The 22,262-nt window shown below is 42.6% G+C and overlaps 2 long non-coding RNA genes across 2 annotated transcripts in view; both read left to right on the forward strand.

Annotated features, from left to right (window-relative positions):
- The window catches only part of LOC107986933 (uncharacterized), a 207,238-nt gene that overhangs the window by 55,572 nt on the left and 129,404 nt on the right, over nt 1-22,262 (forward strand). The window lies entirely within an intron of this gene.
- LOC105379332 (uncharacterized) lies at nt 123-3,120 on the forward strand. Its single transcript, XR_949594.3, has 3 exons — nt 123-209; nt 806-2,391; nt 2,706-3,120. It is a non-coding gene; the product is annotated as an uncharacterized LOC105379332 (long non-coding RNA).

Raw genomic sequence — 22,262 nt, forward strand, 5'->3', positions numbered from 1 at the left:
TGCCACTGGGGACCTGCGACTGCTTCCATGGAAACAGAACCATGGATTGTTTTTCCAGAAAACGTCTCAATCTAATTTGTGTAGAGTCGCGTTGCGTGTGTGCACGTCTGTGTGTGTGCTTCAGTCACAGAAGGGGGTGAGAAGTGGGAAGAGGGGATTTGCATAGAACCTCCAATTTTCCTTATTTCCTAGGGAGTTGATGATTTCAGGTGAGTATTGCATGTCAGACACTGAGTCTTATTAAGGGCTTGGGTTAGGAAGCAGTGACCATTATATTTGCCTAGGGTACTCCGAAATACTTGAATCCTGCCTTGGTCTAGGTAATTCTCCTTCTCACTAGGTCTTCCTCAGAGGAGGGAGGTGCATGGGGAGACAAAGCATGGCAGTGAGTAAGACTCCGCTTAGCATTTCCTACCCCGGTGTAGGACTCCAGGAACTGGGCTGAGTCCCCTCCACAGTTTCCCCTATACCAGGAAGGGCAACATGGCCTCAAAAAGAAATAATTGGGAGGTGGAGGTGGGTGGATCACTTGAGGTCAGGAGTTCGAGACCAGCCTGGCCAACATGGTGAAACCCCGTCTCTACGAAAAATACAAAAATTAGCTGGGCATGGTGTCACATGCCTGTAATCCTAGCTACTGGAGAGTCTGAGGCAGGAGAATTGCTTGAACCCTGGAGGCGGAAGTTGCAGTGAGCCAAGATCACACCACTGCACTCCAGCCTGGGTAACAGAGCAAGACTCTGTCTCTAAATAAATAAAAATAAATAAATAAATCATGTGAACTCCTGTATTTTCCTCTCCACAGCCAAATATAAGTCTTAACGTTACATCTGCAATGGAAAAACAAGTCAAACTCAGCAAAAAGGAGCCCTGAAGAGACAGAGTTAAGTGCTTCCGTGATGAGAGTAGAGTTGGCCTATGCTGTCCCTCCCAGGACTCCTTTACCCAAGAGAAAGAGAGAGTGTGCATCCAAAGGGGAGTGAAAATAGAATATAAATAGGGAAAATAGAACCATTCAGAGCAGTTCAGGGATCTTTACTACTCTGACATGGAAGGAAGAAGGAGGAGAAGAGAAAAGATGAACGGACCTTGAACCTGGGATATCGCTCATGTGACTGCTACATTGGTATTAAGATACAGCATTCATGTGCCCTGGAATGTTTTGTTCTATTAGGTGCTACACCCAGTAGAACAGTGCTCCATCCAATGCAATTTTCTGGAATTTAAACAATCCAGACCAGAATTTTTCCTCCTTGGAGATGGAATGTCTTGCTCCAGAGGGAGGAGGAAGAAGAGAAAAGAGAAGTCTCAACCAGCCTCCTCTCTACCCCACACAGAGAATAGAGATGCAAAACTTCTCCCATAGAGTGTTTCAGCTTCTTCCTCGTTCCTCTTGCTTCTTTTCTCTTGGGATAATGACTTGGGTTTGGCCAGTATGTAAAGTTGACTTGTGGTACCTCTGGCTCTTCTCCAGGGGTGCTCACAGAAATAACTACAGTGGACTAGAATGAGATGCTTGAAACCTTCCCCCGAGCCTAGCTCTGCATTTAGGAGAACAGCACAGCGCACCATGATCTGATATAGGTATAGGTGGGTGGGAGTCTCAGTCTGTAGTTCTATATCACCTATTAAGAGACTGGAACCTGGTCCCATGTTTTCTGCAGGAGGTTGAGCTCTTAACAATGTGCCAAGCCAGCAGCTGTGCCCTAGAGTCTTGGCCTAAGACAAGCAAATAATTGTCAGATGACTGAATAGTTCTGTTTCCTTATTAAATCTTAGGTTTAGAATTCCTTTCACAATTAAAAAGATTTGGACAACAACTTTATAGGGCCAATTCTTTTTATTCCAGGTTATCACAACATCCTCAAAGAAAAATGCATCATGAATGGTCTTCATACCATCTAACAGATCCAGTTTACCCTCATTCCTGTGGCTTTGTTCTGGCTGCTACCTTCACTTGGCATATTTCTCCTCCCCTTCACCCTTCAAACCATGTTTTCTTTCAAGGTCCCCTCAACCCTAATGTGCACTGTGTCTTTCTGTCCACTCAAGTCCTGGCTGATCTCTCCCTATTCACACTTATGCCACTATTCTTTTCAGCTCTACCCATGTGGCGCTTGCCAGATGATGTTACCTTTTTTGCTTTGGGAATTTTGCTTTCCCAACTACAGCACAAGTAGGAGTGGTGTCTTGTAGTACTTTGTGTCTTTCTTCATGTTTCAGATGAGTGTTTTCCATAGAGTGGAGCTCAATTCCTATTTCAGATTTGAGCCATCAATGCTGGGCAATTTCTTCCCAGGTAAAATGAAGGCAATACTAAAATCTACCTCCAGATGGGACTGTGAGGACCAGATGAGATGCTGTTTTAAAGCCCCGAGACCCCAGCACACAGTAGGTCTTCAATAGGTATCATTCCCTTCCCTGTCCTTTCTGGCAAGGAGTTTAGCTTTGACTTATTAAGGACTCATAGGCAAGTCATTTTTTAATTGTTATGGGAGGAAAAAATGGCATTGCCTTCCTTGTTTTACTGTGGTTTGTGGAAACTCAAAAAAAAGCAGCGTTCGGTTTTACAATCTCTATAAATTGAATTTCCTGTCTTTTCAGAACTGTGGTTCTTTATACTGTATTTTTGCCTCTTCCACCTCCCAGGGCTGCATGGCATCCATTTACTTCTAAAATTAAACACATTTCCATTTTGTTTCAAGAATTTCTGCATCTCTGGAGATCTATGGGATGGCTCTGGGCTCCAGATTGCAGCGATCACTGTGGAGCAGCAACCATCTCTCCATCCTGGCTCCATTGAGCTTCTGCTTCTGTCATATCTGCGCTCCCCATTGGCACTGCCCGCCTGGCGCTCACCCAGTCTGGTCTGACACTTGCTGCTGAGGATGGGGCGGGGACCCAGGCAGGCTTCCAATTCTTTCATGAGCTGGGTGCTGCCTGAAGCCAGTGAACTGTGAAGCCCTGTTGTAAAGGCTTCAGAGGGCCCCAGCATGGCGGGGTGGGGGCACCGAGCCACGGGAAGTGTGTGAGCAAAGAGGGCTGCTGAGAGTAAATTAGCTCCTGGCTTTGAGTCCTGCTGATATAATCTCTTGATTTTTTTTTTTCCCCACTCTCCAAGTACCACTTAAGTCCCTCTGCTTGCTTCCTCACAAACAATGGAACCGAATGTTCATTTGTTTGCTTGGAACTGGTTGGGCATCCCCCCCTTCTCATTTCCAAAGGCTTGAAGTGCTCAGCTGTCCTCTCTCCAGAAGCCGGCCCCCCTTGGCTTTAGTGTCTTCTGTGCTTAATTGCAAATTATTGATTTGAAGGGAATTAATTTTTAGCTCTTGCCAGATTCAGTTGCTCCTGGGTTGGACTCCTCAGTAGGACACCCTGGGGATCCCGGCCAGGGCCGGGGGTGGGGGAGGGACCATGGCTTATCAGGGGCTGCTTTGGGCAGAAGGCCACAGACTGATCAGATGCCAGGGCTGTGATCGTCTAGCTCAGCATCCTGTTTTATCAGAGAGGAAACCGAGGCCCAGGGATCACCAAAGCTTAGCCAGCCACAGAGAGTACAGCTCCCATGTCCCAGCAGGGTCATGTCTGCAACAGTCCTTGACATGCATAGGCTCATTTAGTTCTCACGAAAACCTAGGAGGATGAGAACTTGTTCCCATGCAGATCTGATTTAGTAGATCTGGGTTGACACCCGAGATTTTTGCATTTCTTATTTATTTATTTTTAAAATAATTTCAACTTTTAGATACACGGGGTACATGTGCAGGTTTGCTACATGGGTATATTGTGTGATGCTGAGGTTTGGGCTATGGATCCGTCACCCAGGTAGTAAGCATAGTACCCAATAGGTAGTTGGTGAGAATGTAAATTAGACTTCACATTTCTAACAAACACCCTCCATGGGCTGCCGATGCTGCTTGTCCACAATCACATTTTGAGAAGCAAAGGTCTAAACTGCAGAGCTGGGTCCTAACCTTGTCAGCACATTGGAATTACCTGGGGGTTTAAAAAATTACTCATGTTTGGAGTCTATCCCTAGAAATTCTGATGTAATTGTCGTGGAGTGCCCTGGACAATGGGAGTTTTTGAAACTTCATGCAGGCAGTTTTTTTATTTGTTATTTTTACTTTTAGGTTCTTGCTTTGTTGCTCAGGCTGGAGTGCAGTGGCATGATTATGGCTCACTGCAGCCTCAAACTCCTGGGCTTAAGCAATCCTCCTTCCTCAGACCCCTGAAACACTGGGATTACAGGCATGAGCCACCATGTCTGGTCTTCCAGGCTGTTCTTATGTTTAGCTAGAATACTTTCTAGCTGCCCCCATCTCTCCCAGCTTTCCTATGTACAACTCTACATTCATTTCCATGGAAGTGCCCTCATAGAAACCCACGCGTATATGTATTTTGCAACATCAGAGATCTTAGAACCAAAGGAACAAAATAATAATTACAACATACTTTGTCTCCTGAGCACTTATCTTGTTATTTAAAATAACATAATGTTACTCCTGGTACCGTACATGCACTACCGCCTTCATGTATCACAAAACCCCTGCACAGCAGGTGATGCTTTAATCCCTGGGAAAGGTCAGCTGATTCCCCACTTTTCAGTCAGATTTGGCACCATCACATCCACTTTATTCATGAGGCATCTGAGACTTAAAGATCATCATTCCCATGTGTCCTGTGGGGCCATTGCCAATCCAGGCTGGGTGAGGGAGTGCTGGGTACATTTTGTGATTTGCAAGGCGGGGCTTCCGGGGAGCAGCAGGGCTGATGCACAGCGGGAGCTGACACATCAATGACCAGAGGAAGCAGCTGCGGAAACAGAAAGCAGGAATGTAGTGAGCAAGGCATGGGGCAATTTCATTGATCTGATTCTTGGGTATGAATTTCAGCCACCAACTCAGTTGTGCAAAATAGAATTTTTTCTCTGCAACTGAGCTGGACTTAGCTCTTAAGCTCTCTTGTGTCCATAGCAAAAAAACTTAGTTACTTTCAGATAAATGGTCATTACCAGATTTTTTTTCCTCTATGCCTTTGATAGAAATTCTCATTTGATCCCAGCTCCTTTTTCTTCTCTTCTTTTTCCCTTGTACAAAAGTGAGGTTGGGTGGTGAGTGGGCTTATTGTCAGGGTAATGTGTGTGTGCCTGTTGTGCTGGACACCTGCATGGCTTGGTCCTATGCTGGGTCTCCTAAAGTCCTCTGCCACCCCTCAGAGGCTCCCGTGAGTCCCTCTCCATCATCCCTCTCCTCTGTGAGGCTCTACCACCAGTCCTTCAGCCAGTTTGAATAGAGATAGCATTTCCCATGTGCCAGGCTGCATTATAAGTGCTTTACATGTATAAATGTATCCCGTTCTCATGAAAAACCTAAGAGGTGGGTGTTATTATCATCCCATTTTACAGATGAGGACCCTGGGACACAGAAAAGGGGTAAGTAATTTGCTCAGGGTCACGTGGTAGAGCCATGACTCAAAATGTCACCTGGCACCAGGACCTACGCTCTTACTGATCTTACATAATTGCAATCCCAGGTGTCCAGGGACACCACAGCAATAGTGAAGGGATTTGGGATTTTTTTTTTTTTTTTGAGACAAAGTCTCGTTCTTGTCCCCCAGGCTGGAGTGCAATGGCGTGATCTCGGCTCACTGCAACCTCCGCCTCTCGGGTTCAAGCATTCTCCTGTCTCAGCCTCCTGAGTAGCTGGGATTACAGGCGCCTGCCACCATGCCCGGCTAATGTTTGTACTTTTAGTAGAGATGAGTTTCACCATGCTGGCCAGGCTGGTCTCAAACTCCTGACCTCAGGTGATCCACCCGCCTCGGCCTCCCAAAGTTCTGGGATTACAGGCGTGAGCCAGTGCGCCCTGCCTTTTTTTTTTTTTTTTTTTTTTTTTTTGAGACAGAGTCTTGCCCAAGCTGGAGTGCAATGGCATGAAATCTCAGCTCACTGCAACCTCTGCCTCCCAAGTTCAAGTGATTCTCCTGCCTCAGCCTTCCAAGTAGCTGGGATTACAGGCGCCAGCCACCATGCCTGGTTATTTTTTGTATTTTTAGTAGGACAGGATTTTGCCATGTTGGCCAGGCTGGTCTCAAACTCCTGACCTAAGGTGATCCATCTGCCTCAGCCTCCCAAAGTGCTGGGATTACAGGCGTGAGCCACTGTGTCTGGCCAGCATTAGTGAAGGGATTTGATTGGATGATTTCTTCATAACTTTCAACTCTGACCCTAACCCTAGGTGGGTCAAAAGTGCCATGTATAACTCTTTCATCTTCTGTGGTTTATCACTTCCACTGCATTTTCTCATTTCTTATACCACGGGGGCTGTGGTATAACATATGCCTGTCTTCCCCTTATTACATCTTCTAGGAGGACAGACTATCCTATTCACTGCTGTAGCTCTTGAATGGCTCATATGTTGTAGCTACTCAGCAAATCTTAAGGAACTTGAAACATTAGATTGAATAGTAGCCCAGAGACTAGGTTTTCTTGATGGAAGAAAAGGGAGAAGGGAGAGAACTGGAAGACAGGTGGCAGGCTACGTAGAAGGCAATGGTAGGATCAAGTCCAGTGCTTTTTAAAAATTTGATTCATATTAACCTTCTGGTCTATAGTAGTTTGGAAGCAGAGCACTGTAGGAGCATGTTTAAAATTTCTCTATTACAGCAATGGCTGGAGCTCCCACGGCCAGCCTTGTGACGTGCTCTTCTCCTTCAGTTTCCCAAAACAAGCATAAAAGGCTCTGTACCCATCAGGTCCTGAGTGAGGAAGCGATTCACTTTACAGAGGGTTCTCTGTCTCCCCAGTCCCTCCCTGCTACAATTAACACCTCAAGGAGGGAATTTAAAAGCAAGTGCTTCTTTTTCAATTACCACTTAGAAAACTGTGTAATAAAACACCACTGCAAGCCTGCTTGCTCTTTTTGAAAGTCTAATTAATTCATTTGCAGAGGTTGCGTCTTGCCTGGTACTGTGTCACTTGCTCATTTAAAAAGGTGCCAAGGCTTGGAATCACTTGAACAAATCCATTTTCATGTCCCATGTTTGGTGGCTGACAGAACATCATAGGCTGAGATGGCCCAGAAGCCCAGGGACAACACAAATGTCCTTTGACCCAAAAAATTAACCTGGCTTTGGCTTCACCAACCCCACCCTCTACCCTGGGAGGCATGAGGCCTGGGTCAAGGCCAGGTTTGGTCACTCAGCAGTCACTATACTTCAGTCTTTTCACCTTCACTTCCTGTACCCTTAAAAAAAAAAATCTTTTGGCCAGATGCAGTGGCTCACGCCTGTAATCCCAGCACTTTGGGAGACCGAGGCAGGCAGATCATGAGGTCAGCAGTTTGAGACCAACCTGACCAACATAGCTAAAACCTGTCTCTATTAAAAATACAAAAATTAGCTGGGTGTGGTGGCACACGCCTGTAATCCCAGCTACTGAGGAGGCTGAGGCAGGAAAATCTCTTGAACCCGGGAGGTGGAGGTTGTAGTGAGCCGAGATTGTGCCACTGCACTCCAGCCTGGGTGACAGAGTGAGACTCTGTCTTAAAAAAAAAAAAAAAAATCTTTCCCCCAGCTTTGATATTCTAAGTCAGATCAATTTCCACCTAGCAATTTGTTCCCCAAATATACTGCTATCTTTAGTCGATTAACCTGAAACCTACTGCAATTATTGCATTTCATCTAAAATGTGCCTGTTTGATAAATTTTTGGTGAAAAACTATGTAGGCACAAATGTTACAAAAATTCTATTGATTCACAAGATTGAGTCTCTTCTCCCTTCCAAATAGTTCATGTGTATTGACAGAATTTTAACCGAGAACCTAGTATCCAATTGGCATTAATTTAAGGGTTTAATTTTTCTAACCTGGCCCTCCTATTGCAGTATGAAACTAATATGTGCACAGGGGAGTAGTTGCATTCCCTATAATATCATCTCATTGAAATTTTCTCCACATTATGACACAGGCTAGAGATTTGTTTTCTACTCAAGGGCACAGGATATTATGGCCACATGCTGAGATGTATGGAACTGGCTGGCTGAGCATCTAGAGTGGGTCAAGGCTGTCCCATGCCAGAACATGGGGCCACAGGTGAGGAAGAGAAGCCAGAAGCCCAAGAAAGTCAATCTGAGCAACATAGGGCACAGGTGCAAGGCAAATCTGGAGATGGCAGGAGCCAGTAAAGGTGAGACAAACCGCATGAGTCAAGAGGCAGGAGAGCAGTCGGAGAGCAGTCAAAGACCAGAAAAAATGTGGGACTGAACAGTGGAAATAAGAGGAGTCCCAGCATATTTGCATTTACAAGAGGCCAGACCAACAGCTGCCAGACAGATGAACGCTATTCCAAGACTTCTCATTGTTCTTTGACCTCTTCTTGCTCTAGGTGCACCAAGTGTGGCTTCAAACACCTTCCCATCAACATCTTCTATCTAGCCCTTGAGAAGAACAATTGATTGAAATCTATCCACATCTAAATTATATCATGATTCTAATATCTTAGCCTAGACTTCCCAGAAAACAGAACTCGAAGCAAAGCTTATGCAGTAATGCCTTACTTGGGAAGTGGGCAAAGAGGTGTGCAATCCCAGGGCTGTAAGAGTGAGGAAAATAGGGAGGTAAGGCAGGAAAAGAGGAAAGGAAGCAAGCTACTTAGTTATATGGCCCCCTTTGGGATAGTACAGGCTATCCCAAGTACTGTGTCTCAGAACATTTTTTGTTATTGGGAAAAGGGGAGGGAAACTCATTCACTGGATCCTCTCCTCATCCTGACTCTTGTTGAAGGTTCATCCCTGTCTCAGTGTTTTGTTGACTGACCCCTGAACTGACTTCTGGGGAGGCAGACTGATGTCCAGTGGTGCAGTGCTACTTCTGAATCTGGAAGTAGATGGGATGGGGAGACAGAGTCTCTGTGTGTCTAGACAGGTTGAACCTGGGGACTGGAGTTTTTATGGTTGTTGTCATGTGTGGCAGGTGTGATGGAGGTCATACTATAGCCAATGCTGATGCTGAGGGGCTGAGGCAGCCAGCGGTGCCAAGAGAAGAGGCAACAGTAACTGCAGTGAGGTCTCTCTGCAGGATCAAGGACTGGGGAATACTGGAGGCTGAGTGAATATGAGGAAGCAAAAGACTAGATCACATGCACTTATGCAGTGAGGAATTTGGGGTCCAAAATGGTGGTCTGGGAGGGGAAGGGAATTAACCAAGATCAAATGTGGCTTGGACTAAGGAAGCTGACTTAATTTTAGCTCATTCTAAGGATATCCCAGTCTTTCAAATGATAATGTTCCAATAGCAGTGGAATTGTGAGGACTGACTGGTCTCACTTTTGTTATTTAAAAGGATCTTTCAGACTATCTCCTGGCACTGGCATGATTCACTGTCAGGAGGTTGGGAGTCAGTTGGTCTCACTGAAGCCCATTTGGATTGGTTGATTGGTTAAAGCAAGATCCAATAGGGTCCTTACAGCCCTCCTGGGACATGTTACTAATAGGCTTGCTAGCTGATTCCAGATCCTATCGGCTATTAGGAGGTGCTGAGATCCTGGCAGGCTTGGTACTTACTGTCTCGGGGACTGAGTAGGCTGAGTTGGCTACTGTCTAGGAGTGAATGGAGAACTTTGCTAGCCTCTTGACCTGGAGAGGTAAAGCACCTCCACCACCACTACAATGGCAAGGTTGGGTTACCCCAGTATTAATGTTGGGCAAGATTACTGTGGAAAGGAACATTAGTTGGGGCAACGTAAACTTTACTTGAGCAAATGATGCTCCCCCTTACTCCCCACCTCCTTTCTTTTTCTTAAAATTAACTTTATCTTGGAATTATTTTTTTTAACCTAGAAATAATGAAGTGTATATACCAGAAATGTAACCATCTCAGAAAACTTTCAGCTTCTCTACCACTGAGATATGTGGATCACAAAGTGAGGATCCTCATATTTATTTGCCTCTAAAGAGAATAGGGTTAAGCAGTTGCTGTCTTGTAGTTAAGGAATCCTTATAGCAGTCAGGCAGCATGTGACTTAACTCACTTTACCAGGGCTAGGGTTCTTTATGGAGGTTTGAAGGCAAGTTTCCAGTTAGAAGCGTTCATTTCTCAGGCTGTATTCTGAATTCACATATCTTTTGACCATTTCAAAATGCTGAGAGTGACAATGCAGACTTTGGGTGTTCTGAACTGCGGGTCCTGGTCAAATACCATCTTTCTATCACAATGTGATTTATAGATGTGTAAGGATAATATTTTGAACTATTAAACAATGATTTTTAATTCTCTCCAAGTCAATTTATTCCCTCAGCCCCTTTACTATTAAAAAGGCATCACTAGGGAAAGTGAACTGCTGAAAACAGAATCAAACTCTTGGTCTTTGCCATGCAAGATAAACTCTTAAAGCCCCTAGAAGAGCAGATGGTCTTGAAAGCTAAGGTTTGTTTCACTGTAAGAGGTATGTTTTTTTGAGAGAATTAAAGTCTTTTTGTATACCGAGAACTACGCATAAAATATATCTAACAGCAGTTTTAAAACTTTTTGGTTTCAAGACTCGTTTATGCTTTTAAAAACTATTGAGGACCCCACGATTTTTTGGGGTGGAGGAGGTGGTGGGGTAGGTTATATATAGGTACTTACTTTATTAGAAATTAAAAGTGATGAACTTAAAAAATAAAATTGCAAAGGACAACAAAATATATTTTCTTAAATTTTCACATGAGCATTTCAAAATAATGATTTTGGAATTTCAAAATAATGATTTATTGGACAATAATGAGAGATTATAACAGATATAGCCAAAGGTAGCTGGTAAAAGTTCATTTGAAGCCCTGAGAAAAAGAGTTAATGTCTGAAAACATATTTGTTCATACAGTAAACCTACGACCTTGAAACATTCTAAAAAACTCAAGAAAACAAAACATACATTCTTTTAGGTACCAGAGTAATGACCTCATATGTCATGTGGTCTCTGGAAACATCTATTGCATACTTCTGAGAAAATGAGAGTGAAAAAGGCAAATATTATCTTTGTATTATAAAAGTAGTTTTGACATTGTGGACTATTACAGTACATGTTGTGCTACTATAGCAGAATACCTGAGACTGGGTAATTTATAATAAACAGAAATTTATTTTCTTACCGTTCTTGAGGCTGTTAAGTCCAAGGTCAAGGTGCAGGTATCTGCTGAGGGCCTTCTTGATGTATTGTCCCATGGTGGAAGGCCAACAAGCAAAGAGGCAAAGGGGACTGAACTGAACTTGCTTCTTTATAAAGGTATTAATCGTTCTTATGAGGGTAGAGTCCTCATGGACTAATCACCTCTCCAAGGTCCCATGTCTTAAATACTGTTACAATGGCAATTAAATTTCAACATCAGTTTTGGGTAGGACAAACATTTGAACCATAGCATGGACCTCCCAAGGGAGCCTCAGGAACCCCTGGGAGTCCCCAGTCTGCACTTTGAGGACTGCTTATTAATAAATAGCATTCTCATATATCTCAATTTGCCTAGGATAGCCCAAGTTTGTTTGCTGTCCCTACTAATATAGTTATTACAAGCATCCCTCTTTACTCTTAAAAGTTTGAATAAAAATTATATGGACACACTATTTACAAACTACAGGCCAAAAGTATTGGCTTAGCCAGTTTTCCTTCACAGATCTTGAGGAAGAGAAGTTTTTAGAGAAGAACTGAGAGTAGATTGAATCCCTGGTGTGCCTTCTGAAAGAAAAAGCCAATGGCCTAGCCCTGAATTGAGTTCCACTGGGGCGAGGAAGAGATGATTTTTAAAATGTACATTATGGCTGGGTATGGCAGCTCACCCTGTAATCCCAGCACTTTGGGAGGCTGAGGCGGGCAGATCACCTGGGGTCAGGAGTTCGAGACCAGCCTGGCCAACATGGTGAAACCCTGTCTTTACTAAAAATAAAAAAAAGTAGCCAGGCATGGTGGCACATGCCTGTAGTCCTAGTTACTTGGGAGGTTGAGGCAGGAGAATCACTTGAACCCAGGAGGAGGAGGTTGCAGTGAGCCAAGATCATGCCACTGCACTCCAGCCTGGGCGACAGAGTGAGACTCTGTCTCAAAAAATAAAAAAATAAAAAAATAAAATGCCCATTGTTGGTTGGGTATGGTGGCTCATGCCTGTAATCCCAGCACTTTTGGAGGCTGAGGCAGGCAGATCGCTTGAGCTCAGGAGTTCAAGCCAGCCTAGGCAACATGGTGAAACCCCATCTCTACAAAACATACAAAAGTTAGGCAGGTGCGGTGGTGTGCATCTGTAGTCCCAGCTGCTCAGGAGACTGAGATGGAAGGATTGCTTGAGCCCTGGAGGCAGAGGTTGCAGTGAGCCAAGATTGTATCACTGCACTCCAGCCTGGGCGACACAGTGAGACCCTGTCTCCAAAAGGCAACAAATGCACATAGTTAATGAGTACAGAGTTTCAGTTTGGCATGATGAAAGAGTTCTGGGGGTGTGTGGTGGTGGTGGTTGTACAACAGTGTAAATGTATCTAATGCCACAGAACTGTTCACTTAAAAATGGCTAAAATAGTAAATTATATATATATTTTATTGCAATAAATAAAATGCACATAGGTTTGAGGGAGTGGCTCCAGGAGATTGTCAATGTTGTAAAGAAGTGCTGTGTCCACTACAGTAAGAGAACAATGGGCCATCAATTGTTGAGAAAGGCAAATGGACCTGAAGTGGACAGAAGACTCACAGAGCCCCTCTGTCTCATTGAGATGATCTTGTCAGTGCTCAGGCATGGACTCTTAAGTTGAAAATCTTGCTAGAAGTACTGACCTCAGCTGAGGATGCATTGAGTCTAGAGGCTGCCCATGAAAGACTAGGTGGGATGAAGTACATCTCCACAGATAACAGAGGAGAACAGAGGACAGCCTGTGCCCGATAAGCCCCTCACTCTGAATGCCTTGTAGACTTAGTCTACTTGGAGTTAGTCCATGAGAGAAGGGGAAGAGCAGACCCTTGAATTGACCGTCAAAATCCTGAATAAGCCAGAAAACTCTCCAATAGAAAGACAATGTGAGGTACATTTTACATTTCCTGAGAGTGACATGAAAGTAAAATGAAACATGTGAAATTAATTTTAATAATATATTTTATTTGTCCCAGTATGTCTAAAATATTATTTCAATGTGTAATCAATAAGAAAAAATGATTAATGAAATATTTTGCATTCCTGTTTGTAGTAAGTCTTAGAAATACAGTGTGTGTTTTCTACTTACAGCAATTGGGACTAGCACATTTCAAGAGTTCATTAGCCACATGTGGCTAGTGACTGATGTATTGGACTATGCAAGAGTAGAGTTTAAGCCAGAAAGAATCAAACAACAACAACAACAAAAATTTGATAGGATTTACTTGGACATGATTAGATTGTTTTTAGTCAATGAAATGGAAGTAGAACTGATGTGCATTTTTGCCAAGGGCGGAAGCATTTAATTGCCAGTATAAGTCACTAGAGCTTGCCCATTCACTCATATGGTGAGTGTGGAAGCACATGTTGAAATGGAGCCTCCATCAGATTGAGTCCTGAGTGATTAAGATGAACAGAGCCACCTACCACCCATGTTGGACACACAGTGAGAGCAAGAAATGAATGGCTGCTTTATGAGATTTAGGAGAGGTTTGTTACTGTAGCATAACTTAGCTTATCCTGACTGATACATGTGATTAAATTGTATTTCAACTAATTAAACTTTTAAATATAACTTTGGCAAAAATTCATGTCTTATATTTAAAATATTTTCAGAATTTTTAAAGGCTGTGGGAAACATGCCATTCATTAATGTTCCATGAATCCATTTACCTGGATATATTAATGAATTGCATAAAGGGAGATATCAAACAAAGAAGTAGAATAAAGGTAATTTTTAAAGTTAGCTTCAAAAAAGAATTTCAGAGCTGGGCATGGTGGCTCATGCCTGTAATCCCAGCACTTTGGGAAGCTGAGGCAGGTGGATTGCCTGAGCTTAGGAGTTCAAGACCAACCTGGGCAATATGGTGAAACCTCACTCTACAAAAAAATACAAAAATTAGCTTGGCATGGTGGTGCACACCTGTGGTCCCAGCTACATGGGAGGATTGCTTGAGCCTGGGAGGTAGAAGTTGTAGTGAGCAGAGATTGTGCCACAGCACTCCAGCCTGGGTGACAGAGTAAGACCCTGTCTCAAAAACAAACAAAAACTGAAACAAAGCAATTTATCAATTAGTGTCTGTTGAGGGATACAAGCAGGTAGAATTTTAATTCTGTAATAGTAATGGCAATAAATTATTTGCTCTTACAAGTATTAATAATAGACTATTAAGGAAAAAATCTTGGGATTGTGAGGGCTCTTCTCTATAGATTTTGAAACATTTTCCACTTATTTTGGAAACTGATGATTTAAACACAAGATGTTCTAGGACTACAGATAATCTAAATGTTCCACCCATTTAAAAAATCATAAAGGCCAATTTTTTAGTCTCCCCAGAATTTGTAATTGTTAGCACTAGTAATGGAACATGTATGTGCCCATGTATATTTGTTTAAATGGAACATATATGTGCCCATGTATATTTGTTTAAATGGAACATATATGTGTCCATGTATATTTGTTTAAAGTGTTTTGAAGCTGTGCATAGAAACTTAACTTTGCAAGGACTTGTCATTATGAAACACAATTAGAATTTTTCATAATGAGAATTTAAAAAACTCTCATATTCCTAAACGTTCCTTTCACAGGTTAAACTTTTAAATTATCTATCTCATTTTCTTTGAAACTCCCTGGTGCATGAATATTTTGAAATTAAAATAAAATCCTAAGTGCCCCCTGGACTGATGGAACAGACCCCTCTTGGCCAAGGGGACTCCAGAAAAACTTTAAAAACTATATTTCCAGGCAGTGACAGGATGGCAAGTTGGTCACACCTCAGTACACCCCCCTTCTTTGCTATACTTTTCTTTTTTTTTTTTTTTTTCTTCCTGAGAGTTAAATAGAAACCAGCCCTGGAAAAGAAACAAGACTCACTCCTCCACAGACTTCAGCACACCACCTGATACTGTAGCCCAACTCCCATCCCTTTTTGTGGTTTTGACATGGCAAATAACCAGTTTCACAAAGCATTCTTCCCTTACAAATGGCCATTGACCATGAACTGGTTCTGACTGGTTTACAGAAGCTGCACACGTAGTGCCTTTGTGTCCTGAGTGTCACCTTCTAATGTACAGAGCCTATAGAGCCTAATTTTGCTGCATTTTAATGTTAAGTCTTCACTCCGTGTGAACATGGGATTTATGTAACATGTAAATTTGCTTATCACGCATGTAGGTAACCCCCTTTATGTATGTTTAGCCAGCCTGTTTAGCATAAAACTCCTGTCCCACCCTTCCCTTTTCTATCTCAGCCAGTGGCTCTGCTTCCCAGCATGCAGATTGCAGCTCTTCTCAGAAATTCAGAAATAAAGCTGTCCTTTCCAAATTTAGAGATCTTGTAACTTTTCAGTAAATAGTATACTTCTTTTAGGGCACTGAATTGTCTTCAATTCTTTCTTAGTATTCAGGTAGAGACTAAGAAATTAGTACATTTCTGAAAAATTTTTTACTGTATACTGAATACTATTTTCCAGTTGGCTTTAGAGGAAAATTTAATTTATTGAGTGTTTTTCAAATACTTACTTTATATTCAATATTGTGCTTGGTGCTGTGAAGAAACAGTGGATGTAGAAGATGTATTACTGTCTTGAAAGAACTTATATTCTTCTTTTTTTTTTTAAATTGAGACGGAGTCTTGCTCTGTTGCTCAGGCTGGAGTGCAGTCGCGTGACCTTGGCTCATTGCAACCTCCGCCTCCCGGGTTCAAGCAATTCTTCTGCCTCAGCCTCCCAAGTAGCTGGGATCACAGGCATGTGCCACCACACCTGGCTAACTTTTATATTTTCAGTAGAGACGGAGTTTCGCCGTGTTGGCCAGGCTGGTCTTGAACTCCTGATCTCAAGTGATCCACCTGCTTTGGCCTCCCAAAGTGCTGGCATTACAGGCGAGAGCTACCATGCCCACCTAGTCTTGATGCCGACAGGCACACAGACCTGAAATGGCCAAATGACTAAAAGGTAGCAAAATAATTAAATGACCAACAGAATGAGAAAGGTTGAGAGCCAGGATGGTGTAGGGCAGGGAGTACTGGACAGGGAGCCTGGAGATTTGAGTTGTAGTTTTAACTCTCCAAATGCAATAACAGTGTATTTGTATTGAATTATAAATCAAATAAAATGCTTTTACACATTATCTTATTTAATCCTCATAACAACACTGAGAAGTGGATATTATTATGATCCTCATTTAACATGACAACAATATTTCTTTTTTTTTTTTTTTTTGAGATGGAGTCTTGCTCTGTCGCCCAGTCTGGAGTGCAGTGGCGCTATCTTGGCTCACTGCAAGCTCCGCCTCCTGGGTTCAAGTAATTATCTTGCCTCAGCCTCCTGAGTAGCTGGGACTACAGGTGCCCGCCACCATGCCTGGCTAATTTTTTTTTGTTGTTGTATATTTAGTAGAGACAGGGTTTCACTGTGTTAGCCAGGATGGTCTCGATCTCCTGACCTTGTGATCCACCCATCTCGGCCTCCCAAAGTGCTGGGATTACAGGCGTGAGCCACCATGCCCAGCCAAGGACATCAATATTTCTAATGTTTTGTAGTTAATCTACCTTAAAATACCTACTTAAAAGATAGTCCTCAAACTGAGTTTTACCTCCAAACCTGGATCTTCCACCACAGGTGCTGTGTGACCTGACACAAGTCACTAGACCTATCTGTATCTCAGGAATGTAATTTATGAAATGAAGGCTTTGGCCTACATCAGCATTTTCCGAAGTAACAGGGAATACTTACTAGTTGTGCAGGACATTAATCAGTGACAAATATATTGGCAAAATGTCAATTTAAAGTTTAATTTTTTAACTATTAATTTCTTAATCATAATTTTATGATATATTTTATATTACATATTATATATTATATATTAAGTGTATTTATTATAAAATAAATGTATTTAGTAACTATGATAATTATTTCTTAATCATAATAATTTCCTAAAAACTTTCCAGAAATTCTAGTATGCTAATGGACATTGTTAATAATTAAGAGACTGTAACACTTATAGGGAGTGTCTGATCTACTTTTTCCTACCACTTTTTTTTTTTTTTTTTAGCAGGGAGACACAAACCATCTTAAAGGATTGATGTGTCTCCTGTTTAGGGAATGCTGAACTAAGCTATTTATTTATTTTGAGTCAGGGCCTCACTCTGTTGCCCAGGCTGGAGTGCAGTGGTGAAATCTCGGCTCACTGCAACTTCTGCCTCCTGGGCTCAAGTGATCCTCCCACCTCAGCCTCCCTAGTACCTGGGACTACAGGTATGCACCATCACACTGGGCTAATTTTTGTGTTTTTTGTTACAGACGGGCTTTCACTATATTGGCCAGGCTGGTCTCGAACTCCTGACCTCAGGTGATCTGCCCACCTCGGCTCCCAAAGTGCTGGGATTACAGGCATGAGCCACTGTGCCCGGCCTGAATTAAGTTATTTTAAGGTCCTTGAATGTATCACATTTTATGAGTCTATGTGAATAAGTGGTGTTTGAAGTCAGGAAAAGTAATGTCAGTGGATGGGAGTAATAGGGGAGAGCTTTCTAGAAAGAGGGTGTAGCCAGGATGGAAGTCCAGGCTGTGAGAACCAATGTCAGCAAAGGTCAGGAATGTTTGTCTCTAGAAGAAGGTATTCATGGATGAGTCAGAGAGCAGAAAGAGAGAAGACTGGATCTTTGGGTTGGGAAAAAAAACATGAAAGACCTTGAATGCCAAGTATATTGGACTCTTGGTTAAGTGGTTAAGTGATTAAGTCTTCAGCTTCCTTTTTCCAAATGGGTTACAGAAAACCTTCTTGGAGACCAGACTTTAGCTTAAGGGGTATGCCTGATTGGCGTAGGGATAATATCCACCCACTGCTGATAGCAAGTTCAGGAATGGGTCCATGACCCCAATGTAGGTAGATCTGTGAGTCTTCATAATATTTAAAGTCCTTCCCGTGGACCCCATTGATGCCAATCTTGCTGTGGACTTACTTTGGCTAATGAAAATGAGCCCAGGGATGGGTCTGGCAATGTCCTAGATAAGAGTTTTCCTTCAATATGGGCCCTAGAATTAGAAGATAGGAAACAGAACTGCAGCCAATTCACGTCAGACATGCGCAACAAGCAAGAGCCAAACCCTTATTGTAAGTGACAGCAACTTTAGCCCAATAAAGAATTGAAAGGAAAGGTCTACTAGATGATTTGGGGAAAGTTTTTTTTTTTTTATCTTTGAAAACACACACACCCGTCCACCCACCCACCTACACACGGGGACTACATCTTTCACTGGAAGTTACTGGGGAAGCATGAAGCCCTTGATTTCACTGTTAGGCAACTTAAATCATGGGAAAGACCAGCCTTAGCATGAAGCCAATGCTGGAGAGATGGAAAGAAGTTAGATCTTTCACAGCCCTGAGCCATTGATCCTACTTCTGGATGGCTCTTATATGAATCCTGTATTTCTTTTTTTAAACCAACGTGAGTTGGATTTTCTATTACTTGTTGTTGAAACCATCCCAATTAATTCACAAAATGAAACAGCTAGATGTAATTTTGGGGTTACAGGTCACTGAAGGGTTTTGATAAGGTAGTAATAAGATACAAGCAATGAATTAAAAAGCTGTTTTGGTCTGTTAGGGCTGCTATCACACAATATTATAAACCGGGTATGTCAAACAACAGAAATGTATTTCTCATAGTTCTGGAGGCTGAGAAGTCCAAGATCAAAGCAGCTGATTTGGTGTCTGATGAGGGCCCATTTTCTGGTTCATAGATGGTGCTGTCTAGCTGTGTCCTCACATGGTAGGAAGAGTGAGGAATCTCTTTTATAAGGGCATTAATCCCATTCACAAGGGCTCTGTCCCCATGACCTTATAAACTCCCAAAGGCCCCACCTCATAATACTACCACCTTGGTGGTAAGGATTTCAACATATGAATTTTGGGGAGATGCAAACATTCAGGCCATAGCAAAAGGTACATCTGGCTTTTGTGAAGAAAGGTTCACAATGGATGGGAAGAGATAAGAAGAAAGCAGGAAGGCCAGTCCTAGAAAAATGGCACCAATCCACATAGAGTGCAGTGGGAGCCCAGTAGGGAATGCAATGGACAGGGGAGAAGTGAGGGACATTCTGAAGAATGATAGGACTCAGTGCCTGGAGGAGGAGAGGAGGCTTCAAAGGCAAGAGAGTTGGCAGGACTGTGAGAATGGTGAGGTCTGGTAGGATAGGGAAGAAGAAAGGAGGAGTCAGTTGAGAATGAAGATTATGATTTGCTCTGGGACATAACAAGTTTAAACATACTATGTGGAGTCTACTATGTGGGAGGTACTAAAGATTTTGAGAAGAATAAGACCTAGTCCATTTCCTGTGAGACTCCCAAAGCCTAGAAGGGAAGTAGTGGCAAACAAATGAATTGCAATACAGTGATTAGAACAGCAAGGTGTAGAGGCAGCACAGGGGTGAGAGATCCAAGGAGACATTTATCCATGTTCTTATCGAGATCAGATGGGAGCTTGTGAGAAGCCAGGACTGTCAAAACCCACGTGGACCTCATTTGCAGAGTAGCAATAGATACTGCCATGCAAGAGATGAATCTCCAAGAGTGACAAGATGCAGTGGGAGTGGAACAGAGCAAAAGTGAAGGCAGATTTAGGTTGGTGGCTTTATTTCTGCCACTTGCTGGCTATGTGAATTTGGGCTTGTTATTTGTGATGTGAAGCTTCAATTTCTTCCTTCATAAAGGGGAAAAAAAGTGGCTACCTCCTTGCTTTGTTGCAAAAATTAAATGATATAACTCATGTGAAGTACTTTGTACCATATCTATAATTTGATAACTGCTTACAGAATGTTAGCTTTATTATCTTTATTATCATCATTACTGTTAGTAGTATATATTGCTGCATAAAAAACTGCCTCAGTGCAACTATTTACTTATTCATGAATCTGCAATTTGGTCAGGGGTTGGTAGGAATGACTCATTCCTGTTCCATGATGTCAGCCCACATGGCTGAAAAGGGACTGGAGGATTCACTTCCACGACTGGCAAGTTAGTGCTGGATTTGGGTGGGTGCTTGGCTGGGGTCCTAAGTTCCTTCGTATGTGGGTCCCTCCATGAGCCTGCTTTTGCTTCCCTATGGCATGATGGGGATGAGGATTCTAAAGATAGGAAGTAGAAGCTGTCAAATTTTAAGGCCAACAACCAGAAACTGGTGCAGGATTACTGCTGCCATATTTTATTGGCCAATCAGTCACAAGCCCACCCAGATCCACAGGAGGAGGACATGGACCTCACCTCTCAGTAGGGAGGATTTGTGGCCATCTTTCATCTACCATGTAATGGAATAAAAAAATAAACTTAGAGAAAGCCTACCATCAGGAAGCAGAGGTAGAGTCAAAGACATATTCTTTTAAAAAAGTGATTGAGGGATTAAATAGCAAAGCTCTATACATTTAAAAGGAACTCTGCCATGCCATTCCATTAATAAGGATCAAATTTGATTAAATGTAGAAGCAGATGACTACTGCCTTTTAAAGTTTAACAGAAGAGCGAGGAGATCTGGTTAAATAATGGAACCAGAGACCTTAGATCTGAAAGGACCTCAGAGACCCTCTGATGCAGGCCTTTGTGTAATCATTGGAGGTGAAACTGGCCCAGTTGTCCCATAGAACTAATGTTTACGGTTTCTTTGAATAAACGTAGAAATTGGCCCTCCCAGTCTTAAAACTTGAGAAAGCTACATTTGCCTTATCTGAGTTCCTTTCTCAGGAAACCAACCATCAGGGCTTTCAGATAGTATCAAGGAGCTGAAACTTACTGAAATCACTGCATCTGGACAATAAGACACCAGACTTCTCACCCTTCATGATTGCCTAACCGACCACCTGCTTCCCATTGAACAGCTTCTCTTCCTTTCCTGCCCACCCCCACCACCCCCACCCCCCACCAAATTCCTGTTTTTCCATATATGGTTACATTTCTTCTCTGCTATATAAACTCCTAATTTTAGTTGGTCAGGGAGATGGATTTGAGACCTATCTCCCATATCCTTGGCTGTGGCACCGGATTAAAGCCTTCTTCCCTGGCAATACTCATCTCAGTGATTGGCTTTCTGTGTGGTGAACAGCAGGATGTAGACCAAATCCCTGGTGTTTCAATAACAGGAGCAGAATCTACTCTTGCCAGAAAGGTTTGTGAGAGAACCCACAGCTAGGGGATGGAGAGTATTTCAGTGGGACATTTGTGTCTACCTAGACAGTCACATTCCGTAGTGTAACAGTCTTTCTCTGGTTATCCTCTCTTGGAGGGAGGGAGAACAAGTGAAAACAGTTTCCTCAAAGGAAGACATCAACTGCAGTTTAATTCATCCAAATATATCAGCTTCTAAAGTATCTATCTGCTATTCCTCACCAAACACTCTTTAGTGCAAAACATAATATTTCAAACATGGCTTGTTTGTCTAATGTAAGACAGCACTTTCTAAGCTGGTTTGTCAGATCCCCAAGATTTTGCACTAGGAAGATATGTAACTCTGTCCTCTTGCATGGATCTGGCTTTCTAGCTCAGGGCAAAAATGAAGTGCAATTTTTTTTTTTTAGTGGATTATTTATTTAAAGAGTACTGAATAAGTAGTTGGGAGACCAAGGTTCTGATCTGAGGCTTAGCCTTGACTATCTCCTACCTGCATCAGTGAGGCAAATAGGTTTCTGGAGAAGTGCTAGAAGGTTCTTCCCAATTCTCGGGATCAAAGACTGTGTGAGCAAGGTCACTGGACAGAAGTGAAGAGTGACAATGTATCCTGCTTCCTGAGAGACCCAGGAGTAAAACTTATCACAAAGAGAACACGTTTCCTTAAACACACACTGCCAAGGGTTCCTGGGTTTCCCTAAATTCTTAGGACAGTATATAGGAAATACGTTGCTTGATTTTAACTGTGCAGGGCCAAAGTCTAATAGATCAACACCCAGTATTATGAAAGGCATCCCAGCATCTCTGCAGGCAGTTCAAGGCCTTTGTTTGTTATTTTTCAAATAATGTTGTGCTGCTGACTCATGTTTGTCTTGTGCCCCACTGTGACCACCTAGATATTCATGGCCCTAATCACGTTCCATGTTATTAATAATCAGTGCCTATGAAATTT

This window comes from Homo sapiens, chromosome 8 (assembly GCF_000001405.40).
Source record: "Homo sapiens chromosome 8, GRCh38.p14 Primary Assembly".
NCBI classification, from domain to species: Eukaryota; Metazoa; Chordata; class Mammalia; order Primates; family Hominidae; genus Homo; species Homo sapiens.